This window comes from Homo sapiens, chromosome 13, assembly GCF_000001405.40.
Source record: "Homo sapiens chromosome 13, GRCh38.p14 Primary Assembly".
Lineage (NCBI taxonomy): Eukaryota > Metazoa > Chordata > Mammalia > Primates > Hominidae > Homo > Homo sapiens.
Window position 1 is genome coordinate 35825641 of NC_000013.11, and position 13986 is coordinate 35839626.

The 13986-nt window shown below is 42.7% G+C and overlaps 1 protein-coding gene across 6 annotated transcripts in view; it reads right to left on the reverse strand.

The window, feature by feature from the left end:
• DCLK1 (doublecortin like kinase 1) overlaps window positions 1-13986 on the reverse strand; it is a 363288-nt gene that overhangs the window by 56989 nt on the left and 292313 nt on the right. For all 6 annotated transcript variants that reach the window (NM_001330072.2, NM_001330071.2, NM_004734.5 and 3 more), the window contains 4 exons: window positions 13452-13536; window positions 10393-10501; window positions 2610-2667; window positions 1995-2114 (listed from right to left, as the gene is read on the reverse strand). In NM_001330072.2, coding sequence (NP_001317001.1) covers window positions 1995-2114; window positions 2610-2667; window positions 10393-10501; window positions 13452-13536 — 372 coding nt within the window. The remainder of the gene's footprint in view (window positions 1-1994; window positions 2115-2609; window positions 2668-10392; window positions 10502-13451; window positions 13537-13986) is intronic.

The following is a 13986-nucleotide window of genomic DNA, read 5'->3' on the forward strand; positions in this document are numbered from 1 at the left end:
AGGGCAACAGAATGGCTTGAAGTTGTTAGTTTAAAAATTAACATTGTTGTAAAAAGACTCCTTGGTACTGGGGAAAGTATAATTTACAATGTTGGTAAAAAGATAATTTAATAATAAAGCACCAACGGGAAAATCTTCATATTTTTTCTTTATTCAAATGAAATCGACTTTTCTTTTTTATTTTTTTTTGAGACAGAGTTTCGCTCTTTTTGCCCAGGCTAGAGTGCAATGGCGCGATCTTGGCTCACTGCAACCACCACCTCCCGGGTTCAAGCGATTCTCCTGCCTCAGCCTCCCAAGTAGCTGGGATTACAGGCGCCTGCCACCATGCCCGGCTAATTTTTTGTATTTTTAGTAGAGACGGGGTTTCACCATGTTGGCCAGGATGGTCTCAATCTCTTGACCTTGTGATCTGCTTTCCTCGGCCTCCCAAAATGGTGGGATTACAGGTGTGAGTCACTGCGCCTGGCCCATGAGACACTGCCCAGCCGACTTTTCTTTATTGGATTTTCAGTTTAACATTTTTACCTCCCTCAGCCTCAAACATGACAATACCCTTGTTACTAAAAAAAGGCTCCCATTCTTTGAAAGAAACAAGTCTGGCCGGGCACGGTGGCTCATGCCTGTAATCCCAGCACTTTGGGAGGCCGAGGTGGGCGGATCACCTGAGGTTGGGAGTTCGAGACCAGCCTGACCAACATGGAGAAATCCCATCTCTACTAAAAATACAAAATTAGCCGGGCGTGGTGGCACATGCCTGTAATCCCAGCTACTAGGGAGGCTGAGGCAGGAGAATTGCTTGAACCCAGGAGGCAGAGGTTGCCGTGAGCCGAGATCGTGCCATTGCATTCCAGCCTGGGCAGCAAGAGCAAAACTCCATCTCAAAAAAAAAAAAAAAAAAAGAAAGAAAGAAAGAAAGAAACAAGTCCTAATTTGAAGTAGACTAAAAATAAATTTCACCTATAAATACAAATAACCACTAAGTTAAAAAAAATGCCAATATGTCTAAGGTGAAGCAATTCTAAATAACAAAAACTTAAAGACCCTAGAATGAACATTTTTCATATCATCGCAGATTAGCTTACTAAATGCTTTCCTCGTCTTGAATTTTTAAAAGAGAAAACCTCACATTCAAGTCAGCAGTGTAGGGATTCCAAACATGCCCTGGGAGCCTGAGGCGCCCCCTGGCGGTGCTCACAGCTGATGCAGAAGGCGGTGCAACCAATTACAACATTCTCCAACTAAGGTAGACATTACTTACACGTTCAGTTTGATGAATATACTAGAAAAGACTTGAGAACACAACAGCTTCATGAAAATGAAGCATGCCATTTTTTAAAACTTCTACTTCCCGAAAATGTCAAATGTATGGAAGGAGAGAGAACAGGTAAGAGACCTTTCATCTCCATTCAACCGTCATCAACAATTGGCTATCCCGATAGTTTGTTTTCATAGAATAAGAAGGTAATATTATGTGACAGGATGAGATTACGACATTCACTGAAAGTCAGTACACTATTCACATCATTATTAGGACAGTGCTATTTTCCCATTATGTTGGTGACTAAAAGTTTAAAGCTTGTTTTTACAAGATGGCTGGTACCTTTGGATATAGTTCATGGAAAAGTGAATGATTTTCCATTACAACAACGACAATTGTATTGGTACCTAATGCTTTGTGTGTCACACAAACTGGTGGAAGCCATCTCTTCATCCCCACAATAACACCATTAAGCAGATATTATTAATATTCTCACTTTACATATGTTGAAAGTGAGACATAAAGAGGTAGACCCAAAGTCATGGGCCTCTTTGTGCCAAGGCTGGGACTTGAGCCCTTGTGTACCATTCTCCTGTGAACATTCCTAATCACTGGGCCAATGTACAGAAATGAGAACCTGAATACTGATGGGAGAAAATAAGGGAAAGAGCTCTAGAATATAGGCAAGTGCGGTGCCATCAATAAAGACTTACTTTCTTTCCAAAATACACACCTTTACTAATTCCATGACAAGATACAGTTCAGTTGGCACATCCATCTCCTCAATCAGAAGAACGATATTGGGATGCTTCACTCTTCTTAAAATAGACACTTCATTCTGGATCATGTGCTCCTGTCCAAAGGAAAAGTTATCTTCATCAGCTTCCATAAAACATGTGGAGGGCTAACTCAAATGAGTACAACTATACTATGTAAGGGTCAAGAGAGATGCATTTTGGTAAAATGTAATAAGCCTGTCTTATATTCTGATATTCAGATATAGCCTAGAATTGCCAATAGATATGGAGATCCTTACATAATGCTTGCAAATTCAGAACCAATCATGATAACTACAGTTTCATAGCAAAGAATGGGATGAAACTTAGATCACATTAAGAAGGGAAGAGAGTAAGCAAACAAAAAGATAAGGAAGTGAAGTCATATCTAATCATTCCAAATAACTTTTATCCCAGGGATATACATAAAGTTATATTCTAGTAAGTGTATAACATTCTATTCCACCAAAATTCAACCCTTAGGGTGAACTTGTATTTGTTTGGGAGTGATCTTTGTGTTTCTTTTGACCTCTTGAACACTCTTATCTCATAAGAACAAATTTTATACATACTTTGCCTCGACATTTGCTTTTCTTGATAATTTTCAGAGCATACTCTCTAGCAGTCGATCTGCGAAGAGAAAGTTCATGTTTTTAAAATGAAACTTAACTTCAAATCTATTGAATTATTTTGTCAGGGATCAATTTCCTACCCCATAGATCTTGCATCATGTTGTAAATATTTTGTGAAAGGATTTCCTTTCCTTTTTTAAAAAAAAACAAATAAATATGTAAACGTTGATGGACTGACCAAGTGTAAGGACAGTAAGTCTGCTGGCATAGAGAAATCTTGGGCTATTTATGTTGCCGTACTTGTAATAAAAACACTAGCACTGGCACTTTGTTCCTCGAATTGCCCACTTGTCCCTCTTCCAAGTGTACTTTCCTTCCTTTTCTTACTGTTGGAAAACTTTCTAATAAACTTCCACTCCTGCTCTCAAAACAAAACACTAGCATTGCTAGTGTGTCTTAGCTTCTCCTGCTGCCAGGTTACTCTTCCCTCCCCTTCCCTCCGAAGTGATGTAGCAGCAGCCTAAAGCAGAGATGAGTTTCCGCCCTTCCCCTTTCCTCAAGTCTCTCCTGAGGTTCTCTATCCACCCAGGGCACCTATGACAGTTTTCTGAATGTTCATGCAATTACACTGAAGACTCTAGAGAAAGCACTCCACGCTCTTTAGACCTCAGTTCAGTGTGAGAGCCTGTGTGAGTTCCGCTGGAGAACTCATAGATGATATGGTCAAGGTGTAAAGAAAGGGATAAAATCTATTTCAGAGCTCCCTGGGGACCCCTGGGCCCTTTTATGGGCTGTCTCATTTCTTTGAAAGAAAATGAAGGTGACAGTGGAAATCCACTCACTTCCCAAAGCCACATGGCAGCTTTAAAATTGGACTCTGAGTTCTCCAGGCCCCTGCTCCCTGCATAGCACAGTGAACGCCGCCCCTCCTCTGTGATAGGTGTAGGAGGAAGGATTTAGTCGTATCGCTACCTTTAAACAGCTTCCTGATTTGTGCTAACATTGCTAAGAAACTGTAGTGACAAACACAAGAACACGTCTATTATTAAAGGGCACAATGCATACTTCATAATCATAGTAAACCACGATTTCACAAGCATTGCTGTTTTATTTCTGGTGTGAAATCGGGAGAGCCTAGCTTTTTACCTATAGATAAAAGCCAATTTTGTGGATCCAATGGACACAAATAGTAATGAGGTTAATTAAGAACATGCTTTTAAAATAGGACTTTAAAATCTTCAGTATGGTGAATTAAGTGGGATTTCCTGGTTATATGGTTACAGCAAGAAAATGATTTGCCTCTAAGCGAATCAAGAGACCAGGCGTTAATGTGTTTTGAGGGCATTCTAGAAATTTTTCATGTCATTTACTCCTAAAAATGCTTCTTCCATGACACTTCCAGGCTTTTTCATGGTGCCGGCCTCAAAAAACAGTGAACACTGAATTATGATTCTATCTGCTGAATAAAATCACAAGATGATGACTTCGAAGCCTCTTTTCCTCACTAGAGGGCTTTGGGGTTCAGGTGGTAGAAGGTAAACCCTTTGCTTCGGGGCTCCCCTCCTGCAGATATGCGGCTGTCCAGAGGAATTCCCATAGCTGTCACTCAGGAAGGGAATGCACTAGAAGCCCAAGGATGCCCCTGCCACTGTCTCTGTTGATCTTTCAACAAAGACTCTGCCATGGCTGGGCAGAGAGGCCATGATGGGATGTGAGCCAGGCTGTGGCTAAATGCAGGGCTTGGTGTGCTAGATGTTCCCACATAAACACTAGACCACCAGCAAGACTGTGGGGTAGAGGAGGAGAAGGCACTGGAGTGTAAACCAAATATTTAACATTAGAAATTTAAAACGTGGGTTGGGGCAGTGGCTCATGCCTATAATCCCAGCACTTTGGGAGGCCAAGGTGGGCGGATCACTTGAGGTCAGGAGTTCGAGACCAGCCTGGTAAACATGGTGAAACCCTGACTCTACTAAAAAAAAAATACAAAAATTAGCCAGGCATGGTGTTGCGTGCCTGTAATCCCAGCTACTTGGGAGGCTGAGGCAGGAAGATTGCTTGAGCCCAGGAGGTAAAGGCTGCAGTGAGCCGAGATCATGCCACTGCACTCCAGCCTGGGCGACAGAGAAATTTAAAATGTAAGAGCAAACATAAATGAGAAAATGAGAAAGTGAAATGATTCACGTGTGAAGAGATTCTTCATTGTAGAAGCTCTATATCCTATAAGACCACAGGGTCCCTCTAAGTAGCTTCTTCTTAAGAGGCTCCTGTAGAGTTTGTCTACAAACTTGAAAATACTTAATCGAGGAAAACTAAAAGCTCAAGTGTTTCTGGATTCTGCTTTTCATAAATTACTAAAAAATTATGATAAAGCAAATCTCAGGTTGGAATACATGAGCAATTTCCTATCTGGCTTAACATGTCCCATTGGATGGCAGGGAATCTAGACCATTGCACTGCCTGCCTGGGTAACCATCAGCAATCCCAGGCAAGGCCAGAGAGCAAGAAGGGATGTTTGTGAGACTGAAAAATAAAAGCTGCCGTTCCCTTCACCACCTCCACAAAGGGGATGGATGGACAGGACCGTGCTGGTCAGAAGAGAAAGTGGTTTCTTAGCTTGGTGATTTCCCCATGTTTGCCATTTGATGCTCTTTTCCCTTGAAGGAGTAATTTTAAAGCACTCAATCCTCAGGGCTGGTGTAGAGCACAGGAGGGCTGAACCCCCTTTACAGCCAGCCAGACAAGAAGCAGGATCCCCAGTGAGCCAGAGGGTGTGTTGGCTCCCAGCAGGCCAAGGAAGCAGGTTCTGTCCTGAGCCTACAGCTGAGGGGAAGAGGGCAGCAAACCTAGGGCTTACTAGGAACAAAGACCTTGTGGATTTCCACTATACAACCTTTCGTAATAGGATTAAACCTTCCATTACATCTACTCATATTTCATAGTGGACAATGAGCTCCACAGAGGACCACCAAATTAATGTTGCATCTTTTCTTTTTTGATTCCCTGAGGGCCGAACTACAAAGCCACATAATAAAATCCATAATAAAAGCCACATAATAAAAATTAATTCCTAGAATCACAGGTTTATAGGAAAGTAGCTAGTCTAGAAAGTGTGCCTGAAAACAGGTGTTAGGAGACTAAATGTGTGTCATAAGAATAAGAATATAAGTGTCTGCTTTAAGTGAAAACACTTGGCAAGAAATCGAATCTTATATAATGAATTCGCCTTCCTGCATACCTCGAACTCTGAGGACTGCTGTGCCTGTGTAATTATTCAGCAGTGGGACGCAGGGCTCTTTGGTGGATTCAGAGGGGAACGAGACCTGATCCTTGTCTTTAAGGTGTCTATGTTTGAGTGTACTCAGAAGAATACTAGATGACCTGACTGATTACTGGTGAGGTGAATACAGGCCGTTTGCTTGCTTGTTTTTGAAATTATGTTCTTGACCTTTTACAGAACCCTCTTTACCACAACAAAACCAGCAGCAACAGAAAACTTTGTCTTCCTCCTTGACTAAGGGAAATCAATTTGTAAGGCTGCCTTCTTATTAAGTGTGACCCAAGGTTAGAACCCAAACTACTAGAGGGAAATTTTCAAATTTTACAAACTTTAATTAAATCCAACTTTTGGTGTTTGTGCTAAAAATGGTTTGGAGACAGCTGTCTTGTTCAACTGAGTGATTCCCAACTCAGGCCAGTCTTCTGCCCACTGCACCCCTCACCCAGGGAGTGTAGCAGAATGCTTGTCAAAAAAAGAAATGGGCCAGGCATGGTGGTTCACACCTGTCGTCCCAGCATTTTGAGAGGCCGAGGCAGGAGGATCACTTGAGATCAAGAGTTTGAGACCAGCCTGGGCCACATAGTGAGACCCATCTACAAAAAATAAAAACAAAAAAATTAGCAAGGCATGGTGGTGTGCACCTATACTCCTAGCTATTCAGGAGGCCAAGGCAGGAGAATGGATCACTTGAGCCCAGAACTTTGAGACTGCAATGAGCTATGATCTTGCCACTGCACTCCAGCCTGGGTGACACAGCAAGACCCTGTGTCAAAAAAAGGTGGTGGTGTGGAAATGGCTAGCAAAGATTGGGATGCTCTAAGCTAACATGGTTTCTCTTGTTGCTGTTGTTTGCTATGTTTTGAAGGATTTAGAAAAAGAGTATATGGAGAAGGAAAAGCAGCTCCCAAGCATTCCTCTCCCATAGCATTCATTGAATTTCATGGCAATCCTTGTTTGTGGGTAAAGTTCTCTGTATGGGGCTGTGTCTTGTCTCTCTCTGTAACCCCAGAAGTGCCCAGCATAAGCCTGAACTAGGAGGTGCTCTGCATATATTGTGGAAACTCCAGAGGATGGTGGCAGTTAGCACAATGACAGGAATACCACCCTCAACACTAGCAAAAAGGAGTTAGTAACACACCGTTTGTTTACCAAGTAATCCTAACAAAGCCCAATCTCAGCCTCCTCCATAAAGAGATAACTGCCAAGAGCAGAGAGCAGAGAACTGAGGCATTCCACAGTGTCTTGTCAGACAGCTCCCAAGTGGAATTTGATTTTGAATTTGACAAGGGCCCCATGGCTCTCAGGAGCCAGAGGCTCCTCAGGAAGGAAAGAAGGAAGAACAGTAATCCACTAGCCAAGAGCAGTGATCTAAGCTTTCAGCACAAGGCATCCTCCAAATTCCAGTTCTGATGGAAATGCTTTCAAACTATAGACACATGGTCGCTTTGTTGAGGTTATTGAGAATTTTGAAGATTTTCTAGGTGGAAGCAATGCATTTTGGTGACCCTAAGATCTCTGCTTGTTCTGCTGGATTTGAGCCTGCTTGTGTTCATTGCTAGAGCCAGCAGCTTGGGGCACACATCCTCAGGCTTATAGGTGCCGGTGGGAGAGACAGAAGCATCCGCAGCAAGGATTTTAATTCATCTCTGGTGCCTATATCACTAAGCAATGCCAGCAGTGCAGGTGGGGAAGACGACCAAGAGCCACCGGGGGCACCATCCCTGCTCATGACTATATCACCCCAACCCTTGGCTCGTGTAGTTATTAGTCCACACGGAGCCAGGAAAGTTAGGGATGAAAGGCATCTCACATCACGCCCTCTACTTATGCTCTGACCGCTCATTAGAGCTTTTCTGCTCTTTGAGTTTGCTATGGGGCCTCAAAATGCTCCACGAAACAGCTTCAAAGTAGAGCATGTCTCTTCCAGCTGGAGTCACAGTCCACTAACTTCCTTTAGTATGTCCCAGGTACCCCAGAGGCCACTCAAGAAGTTACTCCTGGAGCATGGGCAGAAATCTAAATGGACCTAGCTGCCAAAGACTATGCCGGAACAGGACCACAGAAAGACATCGTTATTGTGTCCATTGTTGTAGACAAATCTTGCCTGTGACAGGATATGATTAGCAGAGGAGAGGCATATTCACCCTTGGTAATACATATTCATCCTTCCAAACACAGCAGAATGTACCCGCAAGCAATGTGTGCCATTCACAACATTCTTAGCTCGCTTTTTATTTTCTTGGACCTCTGGAAAATATTAGAAGAATGTTTTCTGATACCTCTGGGGACAGAGGGCACATGCCATATGTCCTCGTTCAGCAGGAGCCGAATACTAACTTCATGGAGCAATCTGGTGTTTAGGTTCTGAAGTTTCATACAGTGAGACCCAAGATGTGAACTCACGCAAAACAAACACAATCCAAGTTAGAAAGAAACAAATTGATTCTGGATGGAGAAATGGGAAATTTCTATTGTGAGAAGGCCAGTCCTGTTGGACCAAGACACCAGCCCAATCCAAGAACTAGCTAGGAGAAACAGCACATGCCACCATGTCAGACTTAACAGATGATAGATGCTGGCAAATCACCAGACACCCCACAGCTCAGGGGCATGGCAATCTGCTAGAAATGGGGTTTTCTGCTACAGTAGAAATAAAGCCAAAAAAAGCCAGATTTACTATCAGTAAAAGCATCAATGAAATATAAAATTATATAAGCACACATTTATTTGCATGCACGCTTCTATCCATTACCATAGGAATGGCTTTCCCAAATTAATTAGTCTTATTTGTACAGGGCCAAAGGGAACGTGTGTGATTTTGGCTCAGCTAAGCCAGAGTCTTATGGGAGGCTCCTTATTAGTGGAGTAAAGTGGTTAAAAGTGTGGTTTTTGGAGCTGGGCTCGGACCTATGTCTTGCTAAGTACTTCTTACCTGACTGACCTTGGGCGCTTAACATGTCCATGTTTTCTATCTATAACGTGGAGACAACAATACTGATATTATGAAAGTATTGTGTTAATTAAATGAAATGTCATAAATTAAGGACTTTGTAGATAGTTTATGCTCAGCAAAATGAGGTTGCTCCTGCTTTGGGAGGTGTGAGGCCCAGGAATGCAATGGACATTTTCCATGTTTGGCACAAATGTGCCAAATGGCCAAGCTTCGTGGAGAGGTGGGGGAATGAGAGGGAGAGAGGAGAACGGTGGCCTGGCAGCATCAACTCACAGATTTTTCAAGCTCCCTATGACTCGTGCCCCTCCTGGATGCACAGTGGCTGCTCAGCTGGGTCTCTGTCCCTGTTGGGAATATCCTAGCCTTGCTGAAGTGTTGGAGTAGAACAAGGTTTGAGATCCTCTGCACAAAGGTCCATAAGGAGGACTCTGCTACCTGAGCTGGGGAAGCAGCTTCCAAAGAGCCGCAAGGGGTGCCAGGAGCACATAAGTGACTATTGGCCAAATGAAGAACCCTCATGAGATGTGGGGCCCTGTAGAGACTACCAGCTCTGATATGGCAGGAACCTGTGCTTCTAAATCAAAGCCTGTAGAGGAGGCAAGGTCTAGATCTTCCAGGCCAAAGCCTTCTCATCTGTCTTCTCTCCTCAGTCGTCCTCTCTGAGTGGAGCTTAGGAGTGTGATTCTCGGAGGATTAAGAATGGGCAGGGTGTCCAGCCCCACTGCGGGCAGAGAAAGGTGACAGGGAAGTGTGTACCCCCCAGTCCAGCCCCCAGAAAGCCAGAGGACACAGTCCCTCAAGGAATGAGGCAAGTTCCCCCAACTTTGCAGTATTCTGCCCACCAGCCCTGAGGAGAAGCTGCTGGCTGACCAGCTCCCCTAAAGCAAGCAGCTGCTCAGGAAAAGAAACCCAAATCTGATACCGAGTGGAGGGCTTGAGGCCCCCGTAGCTGGGTTGTAACTTTATCAGTTGTCACTTTTCCGTCTAGTAGCCACCAGCTAACGTCCTCCATTAGGTATCTAGAACCTCAGGATAAACCCTTCCCTTTGGGCCACAGAGTACCGGGTTCATTCATTTTAATACGTCTTAATGTGTTAAATACCACTTCTGTTGGGGTCAATACATATGCATTTTAAAGCTTTTCAAGATGATCGTGTATGTATTTCATCCTATGCTAGTATGCATTACAGACATATACTCTCACAAGAACTTTCTGACCTCTACAAAATGTCATAAAAAGTGTGTGAGAAAAACTATTCAATATGGTTTTTAACAACAATAAAAAGGCTTACCTGAAAGAGCTGGCAACGTCTCTCTGAGTACATTTAAAAAAATCAAAGTCTTTAATTTATAGATTGTCCCCAGGTATCACTACATTTTTCAAATCTGTTGTTAGATGGGTCTTTCTTTTGCAAAAAATTCTTTTGCATTTGGGGTTGAGACATTAACTTATTCCATATGTGCCACAGACTGGAAATAGAGACACAATCTTGGAAAACATAACGCCAAATGTAACCTTTAAGGTTTGATGCAAATGATATCCTTCTCACCTTTCTACACATTCCTTGACAACAGCAAAATTTCCATCTCCTATTGTTCTTCCGACTTTATATCGTTCTGTTATTGTAGCTGGAATCTGGAAGCCTTCCTCCGACACTTCTGAAAGAATCATTAATACTTTTTTATTGGTTGAAAAGGGAACACAGATGTTGCACAAGGAAACATTTAAAAGTATCATCTAATTGACTGGAATGGATTCAGAATCAATATGTCATTCTCTGTACAGTGAGGCAACTGCCTCCCCACCCTTGCTGACATTGTATATACTCAACAGTTTTTACTAAGACAAATGATAAAATAAAAAGAAACGTAAGGGGTCCACTCCCACCTATATAAGAGAAACTTGAGTTTTCTGATGCCGTAGGGATTCTCAGGAGGAAGCTTTGCTCCTTTTACTTCACGCCAATTTGATCAATAGTGTTTACTGAATACCCACTGTGTACAGAAAAATAGCATTCCCATGTATGGCGCAGGAGGCAACCGCAGTTCGCAAGGGACTCTGGGCTGCTTGACACTGTACAAGCATGAAAATTGCCTGCTGTTTGGACACTTAGTTTTACTACATCCTGAAATGGAAATCTCCGTAAAATTCCTCATGAACTAAGCACTGATGGCCACCCGTCCTCGGTATCAACGAGCAGACTTTAGACAAATGTTCTCACCAGCAATCTGCATAGCAGATGTTGAGTTAAAACTACACTATCTATTATGTCTGTGAATGGAACAGTTTTGTAGTTTCAATTATGTTAGTGCCACTAACACAACACATTTTCCCCCTGAAAATGCATTTTGAAATATTTTACAAATGCCTAATAATGCTTTAAATATCTAAGGCCATAAAACTAAATAAGCCACAGTTAGGTCACGTAAATATACTGAATAACCTTTAACATCTTAAGGGTGTAAAAAGTCTTTTATAGCTGGGCTCTAAAATGTACATGTTTTAAAGTGATAAATCCCAGCTCTCCCTCAGGCAACCTGAATGCAAAATGTGATGGAACCCCGGTGTGTTTTCTAAATGCACTCCTCTTCCGACCTTTCGTCATAAACTGAGACTAAACATCTCTCCTCAAAATAAAACTTTAGGTGGTGAATGGGCTTTCTTAGTAGTTTTTGTATTCATGCTTGCTCTGTATTGTTGGAGACTCATAATCATCAGATATCTGCATGAGGGCCTTTCTTCTCGATTTATGATGATGCTCAGTTGGCATCAATCTGAATTCTAGAGGGGATGAAATTTCTGGAAAGCGTTGAACAAATGTAGGACATTTGCTGCTGCTACTTTTGTCCTTGGCATTGGTACAGCCTCTTCACCCCTTTATAGGTGACATTTCCCTCTTACCCTGCTAGAAGCCATCTAGGTGGTCTCTAGAATAAAGTGAGGGCTGCAGCCAATCCCCCTAACCCCATCTCACCCCTCTAAAGAAGCCACAATTTTGCCTCTGTTTGAAGGACTCAGCCAGGGGAGTTTTGTCTACTGCAAAGCACCCAAATTTACAAAACAGCTCCCAGATGACACAATCTTAAGGCTCTTTACTATGTGGCTAAGAAAGGAACCCTCCTTGGCTGTTGGGTACAAGTGTGACCCTGCAGGTGGGAAATGGAAGAAGGTACTTCCATTCTGCCTTCTGGTGGGAGCATTCACTGAGACACCCATTCAAAGCACGTGGCTTGGGATTTTTTTTCCTTGACTATTCATAAAAGGTACCTTTCCTCACTTTTGGTTAAGAAGGCTAAGCCAGGCTGGGTGTGGTGGCTCATGCCTGTAATCCTAGCACTTTGGGAGGCCGAGGCAGTTGGATCACTTGAGACCAGGAGTTTGAGACCAGCCTGCCCAAGATGGAAAAATCCCATTTCTACTAAAAATACAAAAATTAGCTGGGCATGGTGGCAGACGCCTGTAATCCCAGCTACTCAGGAGGCTGAGGCAGGAGAATTGCTTGAACCTGGGAGGTGGAGGTTGCAGTGAGCTGAGATAGTGTCATTGCACTCTAGCCTGAGAGACAGAGCGAGACTCCATCTCAAAAAAAAAAAGAAAAGAAAAGAAAAGAAAAAAAAGGCTTAGCCAAAGGCTTAAATCAAGAACCATTTCATTTCATTCAAAGGATACAAAACACTTTGGAACAAATGAGACTTCTATGTGGCTGAATTTCATATTTCTGGAAATACAAAAAATTCTGAAGTTGCATTGTAGTCAGAAAATAATTATACTGTAAATCACATATTTCACTGAATATAATAAAAGCACTTCCCAAAGGGTACTTTTTTCGGAAAAAAAATTAAATCATATCATTTAAAACAAGTAAGAGAAGCAGATTCCTTAACAGTGGCTTGATGGTATCACTTTTATCTTTTCCAAATACTTCCCCACAGTTGATTTGAACCTGGTAACAGCCTTCAGGAAGGAAATAGGTGTGATTCACAATCTCCATTTCATAGGAGAGGAAGTAAGACGCAGAGAGTTGAAAATGCTTGTCCAAAACAATCCAGTGAGTTAGTGAAAAAGTCATTTCTGGAATCCTGATCATTTGACCACATCACAGAGACATTCTGCAGTGAATTACCTCAAGAATATTTTTGCAATTTCCACCAATTCTTTTTGTAAAACCATATTTCATGTATTGAGTTCACTTAATTTAGAGTACATCTGTGAGACTACAACAGTCAAAAGAATAAATTGTCTTTAAATTTGGCCTTTGTTCACTTAAAGTAACACTAAAAGTGAACAGAGTTTGGGAAAACAAAAGCAGCCACGATCCCAGCGATCCCCTCTTATTTCCAAAGCAGGCAATAGCTGGCCTTCTTAGGATACATATGCCCTCAGAGGATGGGAAATGTCTCCGAAATGGGCCAACTTCCCCTTCCCATTCTCACAGAGCAGATACCAATCCCTGGTGGGCACCATATTCAACCCTATCCCCTTGTGATTGACCCTCAGGAGCTGCTCAGCCTTGTCCATGTCATTCCGCTTGAGAAGCCACAGTTTCTTGGAGTAAATTTAGCCAACCCATCCTCTGCCTCCTCAGATACCAAGTCCCAAGCTCATCACCTTCTCCAGGGCCATCGTTCTCATCCATCGAGCTGCAGACTTTGGTGGACGCAAGTGACGTAGAGGAGCCGCCATGCTGAGAGCTCTGTAGGGGAACAGAAACCGGTAATTCAAAAACTGGGTCAGAATGCCTGAGTTTCCAGGGACCATGCCCAGCCCGGAATCTCAGGAGAAAACTTTGCCCATGCTAGGGAGGATTTGATCTTAACACTTGGAAAAAGACGCCTTCAGCATATTCAACTGGGGCCACATCTCCCTCTCTCCCTATTAACCAAGAATAGACTGTGATAACAGGATCAAGCTGGTTATTGTGAACTTGAATGTTCCGTGACTTCTTATTCCTTTTGCTCAAAATCGGGGTCCTTTAGCTCGCTGTTTGGGTTTGGCAGAGTTCAGGCATCTCACCTCACTCTTCCACAGACTATCGGCAAATGGCCCTCAAATGTGGCACTATACTGATCCCATCCACTATTTTTTCTATTTTTCTGACAGAAAACATTTCTCTTCAGTTTGTTTTTATAAAATATCCTTAAAA